The sequence below is a fragment of the Homo sapiens genome, chromosome 1, assembly GCF_000001405.40.
Source record: "Homo sapiens chromosome 1, GRCh38.p14 Primary Assembly".
Lineage (NCBI taxonomy): Eukaryota > Metazoa > Chordata > Mammalia > Primates > Hominidae > Homo > Homo sapiens.
In genome coordinates this window covers 189,551,196-189,575,034 of record NC_000001.11, presented here as the reverse complement: position 1 = coordinate 189,575,034, position 23,839 = coordinate 189,551,196, and the positions used below count along the sequence as shown (strand labels likewise).

The window sequence follows — 23,839 nt, the reverse complement described above, 5'->3', positions numbered from 1 at the left end:
GTATACATTTGTGCTTCTAGAATTTTTATCCACTTGACTTCATAGAAAAAAAAAAAGACCAAAAACAAAGCAAAAACCATCTGCTCTAAGAGCTTTTAATTTAAAACCAAAAACAACCATGGGATACTTAATATTAAAAGAAAATACTTAAAGCTTGTTGAACATGGGTGAAAAGTTAGTATACTATGTATTAGATATAGATATATCTACAGACAGTCATGGTGATTAAGTATAGTAAATATCCAGTTGATACTATCTAAGAGCAGCATTGACAATTATATGTGAGGAGGTCATGTTAGTATTCAAAAACAAATTCAAAAGATAAAGTATACGAAATTATCTGTACCCCTCATTATAACAGATGTGAAAAGCTTGGACAACATGCAGTAAGTACACTGTGTGCCCAACTCACAGGAGGTGCTCAAACCTGTTTAACCAACTATCTGACAGAATGAATGAATGTGTGCTGTAAGTGAACCCCTTTCTGGCATGAAGGTAATTATTTTCTATATGAGTACATCAAATCTTTATTTTGTTTTCTAAGTGTAAATAGAATTTTCTGTTTGAGTAAAATACAGTTCTTGCTTAATTTCAACATTTATCTTCTGGTACAGACATTTGCTTGGAAGCACAGTATAATTAGCTGCAGCCTTGTTATCATGATATAAGTAAGATATCAATAAGTATTCCAGGACTTTAAACCAGAATACACAAGAAAGATTTTTAAAATCTAAATTATAATATGGTAGTATGAAACATCTGTATATCCTTAAATATAACTGCTCAATATTTTTAAAGCATTTAAAGCATAAATAGATGGCAACTATTACAATTTAAGGCAAGTTCACCTGTAAGTTGATAATACAGGTAAATTTCTATACAGTTCCACAATACCAAACAAAGAAGCAACATTTAGATTTAATATGCATTTTATATAAAGTATAATGTAACACTAAAATTACAGGACTGCACTGTCTGCAAATTATTTTAACTAGCATGAAGTTATGTTAAAGACTAAATGCTAAAGGCAACTTAAGGGTGTTTTTTTATTTAAGGAAACCTAAATTTATGTTAATAAATGAATTAAATTGAAGTTAATTAAGTTGATTCAATGAAATTTTAATAGGCATATCAGTTTTTCATATCTTTGTTAAAATAACTGTACTCCTCTACAAAAGAAATTCTAAATTCACAGTAATGTTTGAGCCAAATCCTTAAAGATTTGGGGAAAAATGCAATCTAAAATCAAATACTCTGTGTTCAATGCCAAATGTACACCCCTTAATATTTTTCCCAGAAATGAGTATCTTGGAAAAGTCTTTGAACTACATAGTAAAATACACTTGAAGTAAATGTGACATTTTGTCAATAGCTTGTAAACAACATTCAATTTGACAGCACTGTGACTAACATCAGAGACTGCTCTGGACTTAAGTACTAGAAATTAGCCACCCTACAAACACAGAAAATTCTTAGAACTGGGGATTTTTTTAACAATAGTACTTGCCTAGTTTACTCCAATATGATGTTTAAATATTACTATCTCTATTCTTTGATCAAATGTTTTTCCATTAAACAAAATGTTCTCATACTTTCTGTTTTTCAACTTCCACTCTTGCAGGTGATCTATTCTTTCCTTCCTCCACCTCTGTCCCTAATTTTATTCAACACCCAGTTATAACTCTAACTGCCTGTTTCATTTTATATCCCAATTTTTTTATTTCTGCCAAGAAATACCATAATTGTGGTAAAAACCTTGCCAATGTTGCAGAGCTCTGAATCCCTTCCCTGATCATGTATTTATGCCTTCTTACTGAGATATCATGGGACTTCATCCTATTATTTTATTTACACTAGGTATATTTCAGCTTGGCTAGACCTGTTTTTTTACCTGTTTTTTTTTTTTTTTTTTTTCAATTTCAAGCTTAACAAACCCAAATGTGCTACGTTTACCAATGGACAATGGTTTCCTTTTGAACTGTGATACATATCAAGCCATGTTTCTTTTTAACTCCTTATCCTCTCTTCAGAATATTCTTGTATAGTATTGCCACAGAGTAGATGCTACATAAGTACTTTCAAATTTTTATTGCTCCTTCTTGCCATAAAGTAGCAATCACTTTTATTATTATTATTATTATTTTTACCACAATGTATATGTCCTTCTGTAATCTTGCCCTGGCATATTTGTCAAATCTTATTTCTTCTCCCATTTGTTTACACTAACAAGAAGAATAAAAGATTTTATGGCAGATGCAAAACTCATTATTCCCTTAAAAAATTATATATATATATATATACACACACACACTTGCAATTATACATATATAATGCACTATATGTATATATAATTATACTATATATTGTATGTATAATTGTATGTATAAACATATAGTGTCTGTGTGTGTATATATAATATATATTATATATATGTGTGTGTGTGTGTGTGTGTGTGTGTGTATAGATATATAATCAGTAAACAAATGTACTGGGCTGAATTGCGTCCTCCAGAAAGTCTTGTCCACCTAGATCCTAAGTTAACTTATTTGGAAACAGGGTCTCCGCAAATGCACTTAGTTAAGATGATGTCATACTATACTGGATTAATGTGGACCTTAAACCCAAAGACTGGTATCTTTGTAAGAAGGCTACATGAATACACAGTCACATAAAGCAAAGAATACCATGTTACAAGGAGGCAGAGATTGGAGTTACACTGCTTAAAGTCAAGGAATGCCAGGGATTGCTAGAAAACACCAGAAGATAAGAAAGATTTCCCCTGAAAGCCTCCTGAAGAAATCAATCATGCCATCACTTTCCTATTGAATATCTGGCCTCCTGAACTATGAAATAATACATTTCTATTGTCTTAAGCCACTGATATGATTTGGTTCTGTGTCCTCACTCAAATTTTATGTGATAATTCCCAACGTTGATAATTCCCAGTGTTGGGGGAGACACCTGGTAGAAGGGGATTGGATCATGGGGGCAGATGTTCCCCTTGCTGTTCTCATGATAGTGAGGGAGTTCTCATGATAATGAGGGAGTTCTCATGAGATCTGGTTGCTTAAAAGTGTGTAACACTTCTCCCTTCACTCTTCCTCTCCTGCCGCCATATGAAGACATGCTTGTTTCCTCTTCACCCTTCTGCCATGATTGTAAGTTTCCTGAGGTCTCCCTAGCCATGTCTTGTTATACAGCCTGTGGAACTGTGAGTCAATTAAACCTCTTTTCTTTATAACTTACTCAGTTTCAGGTAGTTCTTTATAGTAGTGTGAGAATGGACTAATACAGACACCGGGTTTGTGGTTACTTGTTATAGCAGCCTTAGGAAATTAACACAGCAGGCTAAGGGAAAAGATGAAAATTACACATAAAATGTAATTTTTCCTTTAAAATTTTTCTTTCTAAAAATTATTGCTAATAAAGGATTATCCTTCCAAGATTAATATACAAAACATATATGTAGGCCAGGACATTTTTGGAAACCTATGGCATAAACAACATAATGTGATCATTAAAATTCTAATATTGACCTGCCAAAAGAGGTATTCTTTTGTAGTCACTTAAAACTGTTAAACAGAAATAATGCATCCTATAAAAATTAATATATTTATTTATTGTTACTTGATATTTATGACATTGAAGTATTTATGTTTTAATTCTTTATTGTACAGAGTATGGTTTGTCTTACACTTTTTAAATTTTACTGCAAATTTTACATTTCTATATTATATATATAAAATATATATTATATAATATATTATTAATATATATTATATATTTCTATATTATATATAGAAATATAAATTATATATTCTATATCTAATTTATTTCTTAAGTGTAAACAACTTTGTCCTAGAAAATACTCAAAGACTTATCCATGTTGTCATAACAGCTTCTTCTATTTAATAAATATCTATTTTCATGTTTTTTTCTACAGATTATAAATAAAATCAGCATTTTAAAATTAAAATCTGTTTCAAAATATTTATTTTTTATTGTACATACGTGAAATTTCTCTTATTTTACCCTAACTTGTTGACAACTTACTTAAAAAATACATACAAGTTCCAAAAAAAAAAAAAAAAAAACTCCTTTCATGTACCAGGCACACTGATTGGAACTGACTATTCAGTATTGAACACGGCAAACAAGTCTCTTGTTATCATTAAGTTACATTCTATGCTATTATTTTTTTTCCAGTAAAGTTACTGAAATGCTTTCCAGCAATATTGAAATGTGTTCATATGATCATCTATCTAAATTTATTGTTGAAAGTGAAGAATATCAAAAGAGGGAAGTATATAATTAAATGAAAAGATTTTGTAGGTGTAAGGTGATATCTCATTGTGGCTTTCATTTACATTTCTGATGACTAGTGATGTTCGGAACGTTTTCATATACCCCCTGGTCATTTGTATATATTCTTTTGAGAAGTGTCTATTCAAGTCTATGGTGGTTTTAAAATTTCTTGAGTGAAATATAATGCTTACAGCATTTCTTCATGTAACTGACTTATTTTCAAAGATCATATCCAGTAAGTCGGATATCAAGTAAAGTGATTTTTGTAATCATCCATAGAATGGTCGTCTTGTTGCTAGTTATTGTCAGACTTTCAGCCTTAGATAATTTTACATAAATGTGATAGAGACATGGGAAAATACTCCACTAAATCCCTATGTATCAAAACACACAGTTCCCCAGACACACACAAAGGGACAGGGAAAGAGTAAATGAAGTTTTCCTCTGTTAGGAGGCTAACAGACACAAAATCATTGATTTATATGCTGGACATATATAACCATGGACCTCTGCAAATAATTATTGTAGGAGAGATTATGCTATTTTTCAGGCTTTAAAAGAAAAATAATTATGACTGACATTTTATTCCAGAAACACGTTTGCTAAAATCAAATAAAACTCATACAGATTAGATCAAGCTTAGCCTTTCTTAAGTGCAAAATTTTCAAATGATGTTCTTCTGCTAAAATTCTGAAATATTTAAGAAATGGATCACAGATATCTGTGTCTTCTCTGACTGGTTTGGTAACATTATTTGTTTATTTTGTTTTTGTTTGTTTTTCTTTTTGATTCATTTGTTTTTAGTTGACAAATAAAACATGTATATGTTTATTGTGTACCAACATGTTATTTTGAAAGGTGCATACATTGTGGAATGGCCAAATGGAATGAATTAACATATGCATTACTTCACATACTCATCTTTTTGTGGTGAGAACACTTACAATCTACATTCTTAGCAATTTTCAAGAATATGATGTATTGTTATTAATTAGTTCACTTTGTTATGAATGGATCTCTTCAACTTATTACTCCTATATAACTCAAATTTTGTATCCTTTAACCAATATCACTCTAACTACCCTTCCCCAACCCCCTGGTAACAACCAGCCTTACTCTCTACTTGTATGACTTCAGCATTTTTAGATTCCACATTTGAGTTAGATGATGTAGAGTTTGCCTTTCTGTGTCTGGCTTATTCTACTTTACCTAATGTCCTCTAGGTTCACAAATAAGATTTCTCTTTCTTTAAAGGCTGAATAGTATTTCATTGTATATTATACACCATATTTTGTCTTTTCATTCATCCGTTAATAGGCACAGGTTCATTCAATGTCTTGGCTATTGTAAATTACATTGCAATTAACATTGAAAGGCAGGTATCTCTTTGACAACCTGTTTTTATTTCCTTTTGATATATAACCACGAGTGAAATTGCTAAATCACAATGTAGTTCTATTGTTAATTTTTAGAGGAATTCTCATACTGTTTTTCATAATGGTTTACATTCCTACCGATAGTTGGTCAGGTTCCCTTTTCTCCACATCTTCACCTACACTTGTTATCCATTGTCTTTTTGACAACAGCCATCCTAACAGGTGTAAGGTGATATCTCATTGTGGCTTTCTTTTACATTTCTGATGAGTAGTGATGTTTGGAAGTTTTTCATATACCCCCTGGTCATTTGTATATCTTCTTTTGAGAAGTGTCTATTCAAGTCTATGGCCCAGTTTTTAATCATTTTGTTGTTGTTGTTGTTTGTTTGTTTGTTTTATTGATCGAATTGTTTGAGTTTTTATATATTTTGGATATTAGCCACTTTTCAGATATGTGGATTGCAAGTATTTTCTCCCATTTTGTAGACTATCTCTTCATTCTTGATTTTTTCTTTGGCTGCACAGGAGCTTTTTGATGTAATTGCATATGTCCATTTTTGCTTTTGCTGCCTGTGGTTTAGAGGTTTTATTCAAAAAAGCATTGCCCAAACCAATGTTATGAAAATTTCCCCTATGTTTTCTTCTAGTAATTTTACAGTTTCGTGTCTTACATTTAATGCTTTGAGTTGATTTTTGTATATAGCGTGAAATAAGTGTCTGACTTCATTCCTCCGTATATGGATATACAGTTGTCCCAACACCATTAGGTTTGGTAACATTTGACTGTACATTTTGAATGTGTGCGAAAAATTCTCCCCCGCCCCACTTTTTTTTAAAAGACATGTTTTTATAAAGGGAGTAAGACATTGATTCAAGGGCACAGTCTACACTGTCTATCAAGTATGCCCTTCCTCTGCTAGTTTTCCTCTTAAGAATTCTAACATTTGGGAACACATACCTGTCTACATCTGCTCACAGCAGTGAAGGAAATGGCTATTTGAAGTTGTTTTGGGTCTACAGGTGATCTGAAAGACAACAATAAAACAATAAATTACATTTGAAATAAAATAATACAATAAAACAAACAAATCAAACAGTAAACTACTTTCAAACTGTTATTTTCTCTCCCTTTTTGCAGTCTGCAAGAATCATAACAGAGGTAGCCTGTTCACTCCCTAAGCACAGTGTCAAACTATTCTATCTCAGTTATTCAGTACAAGAAACTCATTCTAACATGCTGTTGGCAAGATGTCAAAAAATAAGCAAATGTTGACTGAATATTTTATTTACACTGCTGATAAAAATAGTATTATTTTGGCAGACAGTTGTGCTAAGCACCTGCCACTCTTTCTTTCCTCTGTCGTTATTTTTGAAAAGTCATACTTCAAAATGCATTGTTACAATAATAATTCCCCTTGTATATGCTAGTAGCTATATTTTTATAAACTAAACTCAAATTTTAGGACTTTTCATATCAAGCCTGGTAAAAAGAGTAAGGCTCATTGCTCATTAATCTTTTTAAACACAATAATTCAAAACTGCTTGATTTTAATACACTTATCCTTTTTGAACATACACTTCATCAATTTCCATGAAAAGAGACCATTAACATGTCATGCATATGGAATATTATTGCTAAAAGAAATGATCCTGAAGGAAAAAGAGAAGTATCTGAATAGTATTAGGCATATTTATTTCAGTGAATGTACATAATCATAATATGTCACTTAAGAAATCATCTGTTTGAATATTACCAGTTAGGGTTAATTAGGATAACAACCCATGTAAAGCATCCGTTTACCATTACTATTACAAAATTATAAACAGTTCAATTTAAAGTGACTTTCTTAAGCATATCTTTTTTATATAAAGGTAATATAATTTTGTAAAGGAAGTAAATTTGAAAACTATGTATAATTTTCTTTTCACAGAATTGTAACAAAAAAGTGAAGACATTATTTTAAAACTTTTCCGAACATGTTTATCTCCTTAAGATTTGTGCAAGTGTATGTATATTTAACGTTATTTTCAACCATTGCTCCACACAAGGTAAATTTGTTTTTTTACAAGTGTAGACATTGCTTTTAATGGTTTCAAAGAGGAATATAAATGCTTTTAAATTTCTATTTTACCAAAAATCTCACTTTCTAAACTTGACACAGCATAGTTTTTCACAAAAACTGGGAAAAGATAAGTAAAGTGTCTCTAGGTAGTTCACTTCTAATGTTTTATCACAGAAAAATAACATGCTAAAAGCAGTACAATTATAAGTTTATCAGCATTAGGTTTTCAAAGTCCTCTTTCTGAATATTTGGACAATTTACTATGATGTGATCAAGTTCCTTTTGCTTTACTTTCTAAAGTATAACAAGTCTACCTTTCTAGACATGAAACTTATCAGATATACCATTAATTGAACATATTGGACTGAAGTTATTTTTGTACTAGAACCTCAGTTATAATTATAAAAAAAATCTGTAATTCACAAATTTTTACACGTCAAAGATTTTCTGCGTAGCTTTGTGTTTCAGTGATTGGAGTTCCAGATAAGAAAAGTATTTTTAGTATTGCTCAGAGACAGGTGGAACACTGAGGTATCAAAGTAGAGAAAAGTAAGAGACAATTTGGCCTTCTAAGAGAAGCTCCATTAGCAACATATTACACATTGGTATAGGAACATGCAGTTATACTTAATGACCCAAAAGACTGATTACATGCAGCATTACTGAAAATGATGTATATAAAATACATAATATGCAATTGAGATTAAGGCTTGGCCAAGGCTAGATTTGGACGAATGTGACATTATCAAAAAAAAAATTGACAACGCCGTTTCCAGAATTAACTTCAAATCAGATGCCTTTCAAATGGAAGATGTAGTCTCTTTGTTTAGATGGCTATGTGAACTTATCAGAGTCTAACATGCTTAATAGCCGCACAGATGCCAAATTGACTTTATATAATAAGACGTATGTTTAATTCATACTTTTATTTAACAACAAATTGAGTATTTTCTTATATAATTGGTACAGACATTGTAAGTAAATAAATATAAATGCTAGAAAGTTTTTATTTATTTATTTATTTATTTATTAAGATGGAATCTCACCCTGTCACCCAGGCTGGAGTGCAGTGGCATGATCTTGGCTCACTGCAACCTCCGCCTCCCAAGTTCAAATGATTCTCCCACCTCAGCCTCCCTAGTAGCTGGGATTACAGGTGTGCACCACCACCACACCTGGCTAGTTTTGGCTAAGTTTGTTTTTTTTTTTTTTTTTTGTAGAGATGGGTTTTCGCCATGTTGGCCATGCTGGTCTTGAACTCCTGAGTTCAGGTGATCTGCCTGCCTCGGCCTCCCAAAATGCTGGGATTACAGGCGTGAGCCACAGCGCCCGGCCAGAAAGTTGTTTCTAAATTCAATGAGAAGCTCATAATTTAGATAATGGTAGGATTAAGCCCTAAACAGAATATGATAATAGTAAAGACTATAACATAATATAGCATATAACATAACACAGTAGAATACAACATAATGTAACACAAATAATGTAATTTAATGTACGTAACATCTGTAGTATATACAAAGTACTATAGGGAAGATTTTTATTCAGGTCAATATGCTGATGTAAATAATAACTAGTTGAGATACAGGTACTAACATCAACAGAATTTGATGAATTTCTTCATAAATAATGTGATTTCTCCATATATATATCCTGCTTTAGAACTTCTTGGATATTGCAGGAAACTTTCTAAATGGACATTCTCTATACTTTTTATACAGGACATCAGTTAACTTGAGTTATTTTACCCTAATTGTCTGTTATTGAGTGGCTGTAGGGATGAGTCAGGGAGTGACATCATTTGGATGGTTGTCCTCTCCAAATGTTATGTTAAAATGTGACCTCCAGTGTTGGAGATGGGGCCTCGTAAGAGGTATTGGTTTATGGGGGCAGATCCCTCGTGAATGGCTTAACGCCGTCCTCTTGGTGATGAGTGAATTCTCCCTCAGTTAGTTCACCTGGTTGTTTAAAAGAGTCTAGGACCTCCCTCTTTTCTTTCCTGCTCCCTTTCTAGGTATGTGATGTGTCTGATCTTGCTTTGCCTTCTTCCAGTACTGTAGCTTCTCAAGGCCCCTACCAGAAAGAGATGCTGGTGCCATGCTTCCTTTACAGCTTGCAGAACCAGGAGCCAATCAAACCTCTTTTCTTTGTAAATTACTCAGCCTCAGGTATTTCCTTATAGAAATGCAAGACCAGACTAACATGGGAAGTTTTTCACAACGTTCAGTGGTGATGGCACAATATAAGATGTTGTCTCAGCTGAGCATCTTTATTAAAAATGCCCAGGGCATCTTTATTTCTGTTACTTTTCCAGGATCTTGACAAGTGTTGAATTCAAAATCACTGATTAAAGAATTCTAGTTATCCATATTTTTTTAAAAAAGCTGTATCTTTTTTTTTCTTAGAGAAAGGCTACAATAAGCCTGTTCAAATATATTAAGTAAATACATTCTGTGGTAATTTTGTTACTTTTTAATAATTAAAATTAATTGTTATTTTACAATTTGTGCATGATTGCATTCAGTAGATGAAAACTGTCTTTTCTTGAAAAATAGTAAATAATTTACTGCTACCTTTTTTTTACATTTTCTGATTAAAATTCTATGTTTAAAAGTTAGGTTATCAGATAAAAGAAATAGTGATGTGATCATTTCAGTGTACTCTGTTAACAATAAGCAATGAAATAGCAAAATTATAGTTTGTTTAGGGTGAGTAGAAAATTGTGGAAAATTAGTACTCACCAAAAGCTTTGAAACTCTGACTTTTAAACTAATTATGCTATAGATTTCCCATGTATTGTTTCAGATGTCATAATTCAAATGTATTATTATAGTATCACAAGAGTACTACCATGGAAAATTTTATTTCCTATCTCCACCTGGAAGTCTGACAGGGATCTCAAACCCTATGTATCAGAATTTAACATACTCACCACCACTCCGCCAAATCTGTTTCTCCTAGACTTCTCTAACTCAGTAAGTGACACATCCATCCTTCCAGTATCTCAAGCCTAAGGTCTCTCAGCCATTCTTAACGGTTGTAATTTCCTAATATTCACATGCACTCCTTCAGTACATTCTTTTGCCGAAATTATATACAATGAATATTTGACTACATCTCACCACCGCTAATGTTCAATGTTACAACCTTCACCCAGACTCATTACCTTTTCTCTGAATTACTAAATCTTCTAACAGATATTCCTACTTCTACTTCTATTCTTGCCTTCATCTGTTTATTCTACAGATGGCAGCCACAGTAATACATATAAAATTTAAGTCATATTGCGACACTACTCTGCCCCAAATATTTCAACAAGGTAATCTTTCACAATAAAGACTGAGTTCCTTATAACTCTTACCCTAAAGTAGTCAGCTCCGTTATGTTTCTTTTTGTTTTTGTTTGTGCATTTTGGGTTGAATTTTCTGTGTTGCTCCCTTTGATTTACTCTTCTCTATTAGCACTGTCATCCTTGTTCCATAAACACGGTGGACATGATTCCACCTCAGGTTCCTTGTATTTGAAGTTGTTCTGCCTATGTTACCTCTGATATTCCCAAACTTCTTAAGAGAGATGCTTTTTAAAAAAATCTTTATTCTCTCATTTCAAAATAACAAATCAAGTGCCCACTCTGTGTTAGATGTTATATTAATTCTTAGGAATTCAGAGTGGTACCATCCACATCCTAAAAAATTCCAGGCTCTTATAGAAAAAAAGTCATTCTCATGAAACAACACAAAGGGATTCTGTGTTATTTTCTATGCTACTAATTATATGTGAACTTCAAATATTTGTCAGGATACAGGAATTCCTCAGCACCTTCTCGTTGCTCATAGGCTATTTACTCTTTGAGGTCATTTGTGTCTAATTCCATTTTAAATTGCAACAACATACCTTCATTTCAACCAATACTAACAACCTTTATTTATCTTTCCTGCTTTATTTTCCTCATTTAGTACCCTACAACCTACTATGCATTTTATTAATTATGCTTCAAATTTTAATGTATTTGTTTACTTTCTCTTTTCCCATTGGAGCATGGATTTACAAGGGCAGATATTTTTGTTTAGTTTTTGTTGTCATAATGTTGTTTTTCACCGTCAAGAACAGTACCTAACAAACGTAGCTGCTCAAAACGTAACCCACACACCCACACACACCTTTGTTGAATAAGTGACTAGCTATTTTAGACTTTGTTTATTAAGTCATCTCCAACACTCTCACTCTTCTCAGTAGCATTTTGTTAAACCAGTAGGCACCCTCAGAAGTTAAGGCGGACCCATTCTTTCAAGGGCAAATGTAAATTTTAGGGCTGGTCATTAGCCTGAAAGGACTAATTGTTATTTCACCAAATATATATATATATATATATATTTCACCAATGTTATTTCATTATATATATTATATATGTTATTTCACCAAATATGTATTATATAATATATATTATATAAAATACATACTATATATAATATAAATTATACATAATTTATATCTTATAATATAAATTATATATAATTTATATCTTATGATGTAAATTATATATAATTTATAATAATTTATATCTTATAATATAAATTATATATAATTTATAATAATTTATATCTTATGATATAAATTATATATAATTTATATCTTATGATATAAATTATATATAATTTATATCTTATGATATAAATTATATATTTTATATCTTATGATATAAATTATATATTTTATATCTTATGATATAAATTATATATTTTATATCTTATATATTATATATTTTATATCTTATGATATATATTATATATAATTTATATCTTATGATATATATTATATATAATTTATATTTTATGATATATATTATATATAATTTATATTATAATATATAAATTATATATAATTTATATTTTATATATAAATTTTATACACAATTTATATTTTATATATAATTTTATACACAATTTATATTTTATATATAAATTTTATACATAATTTATATTTTATATATAAATTATTTATATAATTTATATTTTATATATAAATTATTTATATAATTTATATTTTATATATAAATTATATTGTATATAATTTATATTGTATATAATTTATGTAATATATATATATAATTTATGTAAGATATATAATATAAATTATATAATATAAATTATATATATAATATAAATTATATATAATATATATATATAGCCCTAAAACACCCACAATTCCTGCTGTCCCATGCTAACAGTTGATTCTGTCCCAGCTATGTATGTCCTCCAATTTGAAGTTCCTCACTTTAAAAACTGTATTGCCTGACAAATATTTGAAGTTCACATATAATTAGCAGCATAGAAAATAACACAGAATCCCTTTGTGTTGTTTCATGAGAGTGAGACTTTTTTCTATAAGAGTTAGGAATTTTGAGGATGTGGATGGTACCACCCTGAATTCCTAAGACTTAATATAATATCTAACGCGGAGAGGGCACTTGATTTGTTATTTTGAATTGAGACAATAAAGATTTTTTAAAAAGCATCTCTCTTAAGAAGTTTGGGAATTATGAAATCATGCTGACTAACTTAAAATTGTATAGCCTATGTAAAAATAATACCTTTATAAAAGATTAAATATTTAGGTGTGATAATAGTAATATATCAGTGCAAATTAATTATTTAAAGAATTTTATTTAGGAACTATTTATCTCTATATTTCATGGGATTTATTCATTTTACTAGTAATCCAGATAAAGTCAGTTTAATCACTTTGTTTTAATTTAGATGTCAAATTACTGACTTTAATCAAAATGATCTTACCTATTAGTAAAATAGCAATAACGGTAGACCATAAGAGGCATAAAAAAATCTGACAAAACCCTCACTATTGGGTGAAAATAAATGTAGGCATTCTACAGTAATTTTTAACCCTAAGTCAGATCTTTAATTGCATGTACTATAAAGTATTAATTATTTCTAGCAAAAATGAAAATAAAACAATCCACAACATAAAATTGTAAGAAAGATTTACTTGAACAGATTGCAAATTTTTTTCTGCTCCTCTCCTTCCTCTCACCTTCCACCCTCAAGTTTTACGCCCCAGTGTCTGTTGTTTCCCTCTTTGCGTGCATGAGTTCTCATCATTTAACTCCCATTTATAAGTGAGAACATTCTGTATTTGATATTCTGTTCCTGCATTATTTTGCTAAAGATAATGGCCTACAGCTGCATTCATATTCCCACAAAAGACATGACCTAATTCTTTGTTATGGCTGCAAAATATTTCATAGTGCACAATGTACCACATTTTCTTTACTCAATCTAATATTGATGGGCATTTATGTTGATTCTGAGAAGTGAAGCCAGCTGGACTTCCTGGGTCCAGTGGGGACTTGGAGAACTTTTCTGTCTAGCTAAAGGATTGTAAACGCACCAATCAGCACTCTGTAAAAACACACGAATCAGCGCTCTGTGTCTAGCTAAAGGATTGTAAATGCACCAATCAGCACTCTGTAAAAATGCACCATTTAGCACTCTGTGTCTAGCTAAAGGATTGTAAATGCACTAATCAGCGCTCTGTAAAAAAGCACCAATCAGTGCTCTGTGTCTAGCTAAAGGATTGTAAACACACCAATCAACACTCTGTAAAATGGATCAATCATCACTCTGTAAAATGGACCAGTCAGCTCTCTGTAAAATGGACCAATTAGCAGGATGTGGGTGGGGCCAAATAAGGGAATAAAAGCTGGCCACGTGTGCCAGCAGTGGCAACCTGCTTGGGTACCCTTCCGCGCTGTGGAAGCTTTGTTCTTTCGCTCTTCACAGTAAATCTTGCTACTCTTTGGGTCCGCATTACCTTCATGAGCTGTAATACTCACCACGAGAGTCTGCAGCTTCATTCCTGAAGTCAGCGAGACCACGAACCCACCTGGAGGAACAAACAACTCTGGATGCGCCGCCTTTAAGAGCTGTAACACTCACTGCAAAGGTCTGCAGCTTCAGTCTTGAAGTTAGTGAGACGAACAACCCACTAGAAGGAATAAATTCCGGACGCAATTCCATGTCTTTGCTCTGAAATGGAATGTGTGTTCATGGGATGAACACATTCCATGTACAATGAACACACACATGCATGTCTTTATAGTAGGATGATTTATATTCCTCTGAGTATATACTCAGAAATGGGATAGCTGGGTTGAATGGTAGTTCTATTTTTGCTCTTTGAGGAATTGCCATATTGCTTTTCAAAATGGTTGAACTAATTTATACTCACACCAACAGTATTTAAGAGTTCACTTTTCTCTACAACTTTGCCAGCATCTGTTACTCTTTTACTTTTTAATAATAGCAATTATGACTGTTGTGAGATGGTATCTCACTGTGGTTCTGGCTTGCACTTCTCTAATGATCAGTGATATTAGCTTTTATTCACATGTTTTTTGGCCACATGTGTGCCTTCTTTTGAAAAATATCTGTTCATGTCCTTTGCCTACTTTTTAAAGTGGTTGGTTGTTTTTCTCTTGTACATTTGGTTACATTCCTTATAGATGCTGGATGTTAGACCTTTGTCAGATGCATAGTGTACAAATATTTTTTCTCATTTTGTAGGTTGTCTATTTACTCTATTTTAGTTTCTTTTGCTGTGCAGAAGCTGTAAAGACTAATTAGACCCCATCTGTCAATTTTTGCTTTTGTCGTGATTTCTTTTGGTGTCTGTCATGAAATCTTTGCCAGTTCCTATGACCAGAATGGTAATGTCTAGGCTATCTTCCAAGGTTTTTATACTTTTGGGTTTTACATTTGAATTTTTAATACATCTTGAGTTGACTTTTGTATATGGTATAAGGAAAGGGTCCAGTTTCAATCTTCTGCTTATAACTAGACAGTTATCCTAGCACCATTTATTGAATAGGGTTTCTTTTCCCAATTGATTGTTTTTGTATTGAAGGAACAAAACAAATAAGGCAATAGAAAGAAACAAACAGCATCCAAATAAAAAGGGCAGAAAGTCAAACCATCCCTATTTGCAGATGACGTGATTCTATGTCTAGAAAACTCTAGTCTCATAGTTCTCTCATTCTGTAGGTTGTCTGTTTACTCTTTGATAGTTTCTTCCACTGTGCAGAAGCTTTTAGTTTAATTAGATCTGATTTGTCAATTTTTGCTTTTGTTGTGATTGTTTTTGGTGTCATTGTCATGAAATCTTTGCCTGTTCCTTGTCCAGAATAATATTGCCTAGGTTATTTTCCAGGGTTTTTACAATTTTAGGATTTACATTCAAGTCTTTAATCCATTTTGAGTTGATTACAGCTAACAGGAACGTGAAAATTTTCTACAATGAGAATTAAAACAGTGCTCAAAGAAATCAGAGATGATACAAACAAATGGAAAAATATTTTATGCTCATGGATGGGAAGAATCAGTATTGTTAAAATGGCTATACTGCCCAAAGCAATGTAAGAGTCATTCTTTACATTGCTTTGGGAAGTTCTTATTAAACTACCAATAACATTATTTATCTAACTAGAAAAAAACTATTTTAAAATTCAATTCTCAAATAAATCAGAGATGACATATAGGAAGAGAGAAAGTCAAATATCAGATGGTTGTAGGTGTGTGGCTTTATTTCTGGGCTTTCTATTCTGTTCTATTGGCCTATGTGTCTGTTTTTGTACCAGCATCATGCTGTTTTGGTTACTGCAGCCCTGTAGTATAGTTGGAAATTGGGTAGTGTGATGCCTCCAGACTTGTTCTTTTTGCTTAGGATTGTTGTGGCACAATCTCAGCTCACTGCCACCTCTGCTGCTGGGTTCAAGCGATTCTCCTGCCTCAGCCTCCTGAGTAGCTAGGATTACAGGCATGTGCCACCATGCCCAGCTAATTTTTGCATTTTTAGTAGAGACAGGGTTTCACCATATTGGCCAGGCTGGTCTCGAACTCCTGACCTCAAGTAATCCACCCATCTCGGCCTCCCAAAGTGCTGGGATTTAAAAAACAGGCCATTCCTTAGCTACACCAGCTGGAGTTTTTACTTGTTTAAATGATTATTTACTTGGAAAGCTTTGTATATTTAGGGTTTTTTTTTTAATTTCTAAATTTATGCAGAAAGAAGTATAGCTTCCCTTTACTATTCTCATACACATTTGAGGGTGGATTTCAATTGGCTTTATATTTACTGTATTAGCCCGTTTTTACACTACTGATAAAGACATTCACAAGACTGGGAAGAAAAAGAAGTTTAATTGGACATACAGTTCCACATGGCTGGGGAGGCCTCAGAATCATGGCAGGAGGAAAAAGGCACTTCTTACATGGCACTGACAGGATAAGAATGAGGAAGAAGCAACAGCAGAAACCTCTGATAAACCTATCAGATCGCATGAGACTTATTCACTCTCACGAGAATAACACGAGACAGGAAAGACAGACTCCCATGATTGAATTACCTCCTCCTGGGTCCCTCCCACAACATGGGGGAATTCAGGGAGATACAATTTGAGTTGAGATTTGGGTAGAGACACACCCAAACCATATCAATTACCAAGTGTGGTAATAATAGCATTGACCAATGTTCTCCTCCTGAAGTCTTAAAATGAAAATTCTTAGTATTGGTTGGTAAAACTATTAGTGTAAACAGCTTTCCCCAGTCATTTTTTTTTTCTCCTGACTGCAGATCTCATCTGACAAACCCATTTCACTCTTGATTCAAATTATTTTCATAGAATATTCTATGCTTCCTCTGGTATCACCAAAATACTTTAAAATAATAACTGGACATAAATATTCAATCATTATTTTGAAGTGTGTTAATAGCTTAGTTATAAATTGCACATGAAGTTATTTGGTAACGTACCTCACATCCACGTTTTTATAAAATAATCTCCAATGTGTAATTAGTAAACTGTACAGATAAAAACATGCTAAACAAATTGAGAAATCTAATTACAAATTATTCTTCACTTAAAAAGTTAATTCCAGATTTGGAGAGACCTGAAGATTATAAAATCTGTAGATATATTTAATAAGAAAAATAATATCAAATTCACTCAATAAATAAATACTGATCTATATCAATAAAATAAATCACAACAAATTTTAAAATTAAATAAAAGCTGAGAGCTAAACCTCACAACATTCAGAAAAATGTTATTATCATTATGATTATAATTAGGATTATATATTTGTTTACAATGGTAAGAACCACATCATACCTACTCAGTTATCAAATTTTTAAGGATCTAGTACCATATAGTTAACTAAATACACAACATAGATCAAAATTGAGGATATCGTGCTGAGTGAAATACGCCACTCATAGAAGGGCAACAACCACATGATGCCACTTATTTGAGGTATATAAAGTAGTGAAATTTAAAGAAGCAGAGTATAATAGTGGTTGCCAGGGGCTGGGATAAGAAGAAAAGGTTTTCAGTCATGTAAAAATGTTTTTTAAAATTTTAGGGCCTGGCTAATTCAGTTCATAGAGCATGAGACTCTTCAAAAAAGTTTTAGGATTACCATTTTGAATTAACTGCTTGATATTTTGTTTTCTACATTTTTTAGCTGATATTCTTGTTTCTTCATGTGACACAAACTTTGTAAATTGCTTTCTGTAGTGAGAATGGAAATGTAATTGTATTTTTTTCTAGCATGATTGCTTGGTTTTGTAAAAAAATTAATCAATGTGGACAATATGGTTTAGAAGAGTCTCTTTCAACTTTATAAGCCCTTATAACAAAACTACATGGTAGGTTCCTCAATAACTTCTTGCTCAGACTTTTCTCCATGTCCTGGGGATTGCTTTCTGGAAACTCCAGCCTTTGTACATACCTAGGCATAGTCCCTGAGACCACTGTGAAGCAGTTTGTTCAGCTGCAGCAGGTCCTTGAGGTATCTGCTGAGTCCTGAGGTGTCCCTCAGTAGGCAGCGCCAGGTGGCCATGATCATGTACTAATTACTTCCAGGCATGATTTTTTTTTTCCACTTATTTTCCGTAGAAGCAAAGGTAGAGTTGGGATGCTGAATGAGATCCACTAGGGGCAGGACTTTTCTGGGGATCTGCTGAGTAACAAGCTACTTACTTAACCCACACACCAGGAACATCCACAGGTCACAGAGGATGACTTCCAGGCAGAATACCATGCTTCCACTCTATGATTCTACATATAATGCTAGGTCTACTACTTTTCTCTTAACACGTCTAAATGTTTAAATCTGTCCAAGAGCTATATGGACCAATGCAAAATAATTAGCTGTTACAAAGGAGCCTATATTGTTAAGTCTCATTGTATGAAGAGAGACACTCACACATGGAGGAGACATGAAAATCTTAATTTTCCATAGAAATTGCTTCAAGTCTTTTAACCTGGCATATGTCTCTGTTTCTAGGATTTTGATTTCTGACTCCTATTCATATTTATTTTAAAACCCTTTTCCACTCTTGCTGTTTATTGTAAAAGAAGCCAATGGATGTACAGATTAATAAAAATAGTTTCAACTTAATTAATTACCTCAGATAATACTTTAGATTGATCCACACTGAAGATGTTACTAAAAGGATAAATAGGTAGTGTAATGAAGAGATGGAAATAAGTACAAAGAAAGCTGGTTCCAGTAGGGCAGTTTTGGTTAATTCATTTTCTAAAACATCAGAAGAGTTTATTTTATGTCTAAATAAGTTCATATTGATGGAACAATTGGATTATCTACCTGTAACTGTCACATCTTCTCATATATAAATCAACAAAAACATATTGACACTTTGTGACTTCATATTCTCAGAAAATATAAACTTAAAAACTAAACTTTTCTTTATGAACATTTTGGCTTTTTTCCTAAAATCTTTTTATATTAAAATGATTACCCCAATAGCATATCCCCTAGTACATTTCACTTAGATGCATGAAATACAGGATGCCTTAAAGTACTTCAACAGTCTTGGCTTGCATTTGTAAAATATTATTGTAATGTTTAAAGTTACCGTATTGATGAGACACAAATCAATATGGTCTTGGAGACTAATTATCTTTTTTTTTTCTGTGTGTGTGTGTGTGTATATTCATGGCTCACAGAGCTTGCCCAACTGGACCGAGACAGTCTATGTGGGAAACCTAATATAACCATTGCTGGAGCAGCCAGATCTTTCCAAAGGTACTTAGTGTGCAGACCTTAACCCTCTTGAATATAATCCTTGGGCTTGAAGATCAATTGATAAATTTCTTATTACTTTGGAAAACTAAATGTTCCCTAGCCCTTATTAAGCTAACCCATAAATAAATATGTAAGACAAAAGGAAGTTTGGATTCACTCTCTCCACACATTTTTAGTGCCATGCAAAGCCAAGCCAGTATATCCAGAAAGGCTCATTCCTGATAGAATCTTGGCTGGTGAGAATACAGACAGCTCTGTACAGCTTATACCATTTAAATATGAAAACGCAAGAAACAGTAGTTATGCTATATCTTCCCCTTTAAGTTTTTTCTCCCAAAATCCTACATTTACTTTAATTATCCAAGGCTTGCTATATGTGTTTATGACACCTTTGCATGATGAATATAGAATCTATGTAATGTTTGCCTTAGAAATATTTTCCTCCTAATGCATATATAAACTCTTGAATATTTGTGAATAAAAGCAAACGTGAAAAGTTCAAAACTACTTAAAATATTCACTGAAAAGGGAAAATTGTTTGCCTTGGTGAATTAATAGCACAGCTAGATTTGCTGTCAACTTTCATGACTATAAACACAGAAAACTTCTCTTTTTTTCCTTAGTTTTCTTCTATTTACCAATGCTGACACTGCTGGCAGATGAATTCTAAAAATTTGATTAACTGTGTTCATAATAAATTTATACTTAGTGTGTGTTTGTTCATTTATTAAATATTTATGTAACAGTTGGTATTTTTTAGGTATTTTTAAAGATGATCAATCAAAAAGAAATCCCCTGACAAAAGGGAAAAATTAAATATGACACACATGCATATTATGGTGCATTTCCTAAATTGATCAAGTATATTAGATAAATATTGTGGCATGCTGGCAGCGGAATTCCTATTCATAAATGATTTTATATGCATTGCTTGTTTATATATATTTCTGCCATTGTTTATATATATTTCTGCCATGGTGTATATTCTACAACTGAGTGAAATTTGATTTTTACTTCTTTCTTCATTTTAAGTCAAATTTACTAAGGTACAACTTATATTGAAAAAATACTGCTGATGTTCAGTTTCAGCTCCAACATGTAAAGAGCCTGGAAGCTGACACATGGGTTCTTACAAAACATTTCATTTGGGACAACAAAACGCTTAATGAAATCAATGGCTTTTCTTATATTCATCAGGTAACACATTGCACGGCAAATTGCCACCATGGACTCTGACAAGACACGTGAATCTAGAGAATCACAGCCAAATTCTGATTTTCTGGAGTAGAAGCTGTGGGAGCCATAAACTGATATAAACACTTAAATGGTAATTTTGATGAATTCCTAGGAGCTGAGTGTAAACTACCTTGGAGTTACACATTTCTTAGCTGCAGTGTTAGGGGAATGACCATGCTTTCAAGAGGTTTACCGCTAGGCATTTCACCATATTCTCATATTTAAGATCCAAGAAAGATCCCCTCATGTGGCTCAGTTTTTGTATACAACAGCAGTACAAGATTTGTGAAATAAGTAATAGATAAGTTGGATTTCATTAAAATTACAAACTTTTGCTCTGCAAAATGCAGTGCTAAAAGAATTAAAAGACAAGCCTTAGCATGAGAGGTAATACTTGCAAAACACATATCTGAAAGCACAGTTGGATCCAAAATGAACAAAGAACTTTAAAATCTAACATTAAGAAAAGAAACAACACAATTAAAAATAGTCAAATTTCTGAACAGATATTTCACCAAAGGAGATGTACACCTGGCAAATAAGCATATGAAAGACGTTCAACATCATCTTGTTACGCGAATATAAATGAACACCACAATGATATACCACTACACACCTATTAAAAGGACCAAAAAAAAAAAAAAATACTGGCAATATCAATTGCTGGTGAGAATACAGAGCTAAGGGAACTCTCATTCATTACTGGTCATACTGCAAAATGGTATAACTACCTTTTTTTTTTTTTTTTGAAATGGAGTCTTACTCTTTCGCCAGGCTGGAGTGCAGCGGCGTGATCTTGGCTCACTGAAACCTCGAACTTCCTGGTTCGAGCTATTCTCCTGCCTCAGCCTCACGAGTAGCTGGGATTACAGACACGTGCCACCATGCCCTGCTAATTTTTGTATTTTTTTAGTAGAGATGGGGTTTCACCATGTTGGCCAGGATGGTCTCGATCTCCTTGGCAGTTTCTTAGAAAGCTAAACATAAATTTTCCATTCAGCAATCACAGTTCTAGTTAACTTATCTAATGGCTTCATATAAATATAGATAGTTACACACACATGTATTCATATATATTTTTGTATACACAATTTAGTATACAAGCATGTATTCCTTTGTTCTGTCAGCTTAGAGGGACTAGAAACAACTATATCCTGATAGCAAAAATCTTACCTAGTGTTCAAATCTTGATTTCTCATTCTCCAACCAAAGGAACTAGGACGTTTAGGAAAAAATAGTTAATTATAGGACTGAGGCAGAAAATAGACAAGATGAGCCTGGAATCTCTTATAGTTCTAGAGAAAAAGAAATGGGTCAAAAATATGATGGGGGCACGTTAGAGGGACAAGTGTGATCTGAAAGGACTCCCAAGGAGCTGAGCCAAAGCTGGAACAATTTTAGCAGCAAAATAAATAAAATGATATTGGGTCATGGTCCCAAATCTAAAATAAATATCCATGAGTCTATGTTGTTATAAATAAATTATCGAACAAATAAATAAATAGATGAAAAGACAAATCTCATGTCAGAAAATTGTCAAGTAGTTTTTGTAGCTACTCTAAGAAGGTGGAGGATAATTCCCCTTGCTTGAATGTGAATTTACTTAGGGGTTTGCTGCCAAGGGGGTTACAGGAGTAAATTTACAGTGGAGTAATCTAACAAATACTACCTCAGCTAGTTTCTCAATGATAGCAGAAACAGTAAAGCCACATTGCTAGTGTGTACACTTGATGTGATGTGATTAAAATGGAATTTTACTTCTTTAGTCTTTTTACCAAATACATATAATTCCAGATTAATCATATGAAAAACAGCAGGCATATATTGTAAATGTAGATATATTTACAAAATGGCTGATCAGTCCTCCTCAAAACTACCAAGGTTACCAAAAACAAAGAAACTATGAGAAACTGTCATAGCCAAGACTGTCTTAAAGAAACCTCATTACTAAATGTAATATGGCACCCCATGTAGGTTCCTGCAACAGAAAAAGGGCAGTAGGTAAAAACTAAGGAAACTTGGACCAAGTATGAATTTTAGTTGATACTAATATATACTTACAGGTTTATCAATTAGAACAAATTTACCTTATTCATAGAAGATGTTAATAACAGGAACTGGGTATATAGAAATTCTCTGGGCTACCTTAACAATTTTCCTGTTAATCTAAAACTATTCTAAATAAATAGTTTATTTTTTTACATGCAACCATCAGAGTGTACAGATAATAATTTTGAGAAATAAATACTTCATGTGCAAGTGGTTGAGTTAGTTACATAATATATCCATAAACCTACAAAATTATCTTGGGGTTTTTTATAGAGCTACAGAAAACCGCATTCATTGCTGGTGGTAAGGCAAAATGTTATAATTACTTTGAAGACTGTGTGGCAGTTCCTTACAAAGCTAAAAATGTGTTTACTGTTCAGCAATCATAGTTCTATTTATCTAATTGCTTTGTATAAATACAGATGAATGTATATATATATAGATGTATTTATAGACATGTGTATATACACAGGGTAGTATATAAATATGTATTCCTTATCTCTGTCAGCTTAAAGGGACCAGAAGCAACTATATCCTGATTGCAAAAATCTTACCTACTATTCGAACCTTGGTTTCTCATTCTCCAACAAAAGGAAATTAAATGCAACAATCTAAGTGTACAGGCAATAATTTCGAAAAATTCATACCCTGTGTACAAGTGCTCAAGTTAGTTATATAAAATTTCTAT

General features: G+C 32.4%; 1 long non-coding RNA gene across 1 annotated transcript in view; it reads right to left on the bottom strand.

The window, feature by feature from the left end:
* The window catches only part of LOC105371657 (uncharacterized), a 453,818-nt gene that overhangs the window by 28,546 nt on the left and 401,433 nt on the right, over window positions 1-23,839 (bottom strand). Inside the window, exon 4 of the long non-coding RNA XR_002958413.2 lies at window positions 6,640-6,706. This is a non-coding gene — a long non-coding RNA (uncharacterized LOC105371657). The remainder of the gene's footprint in view (window positions 1-6,639; window positions 6,707-23,839) is intronic.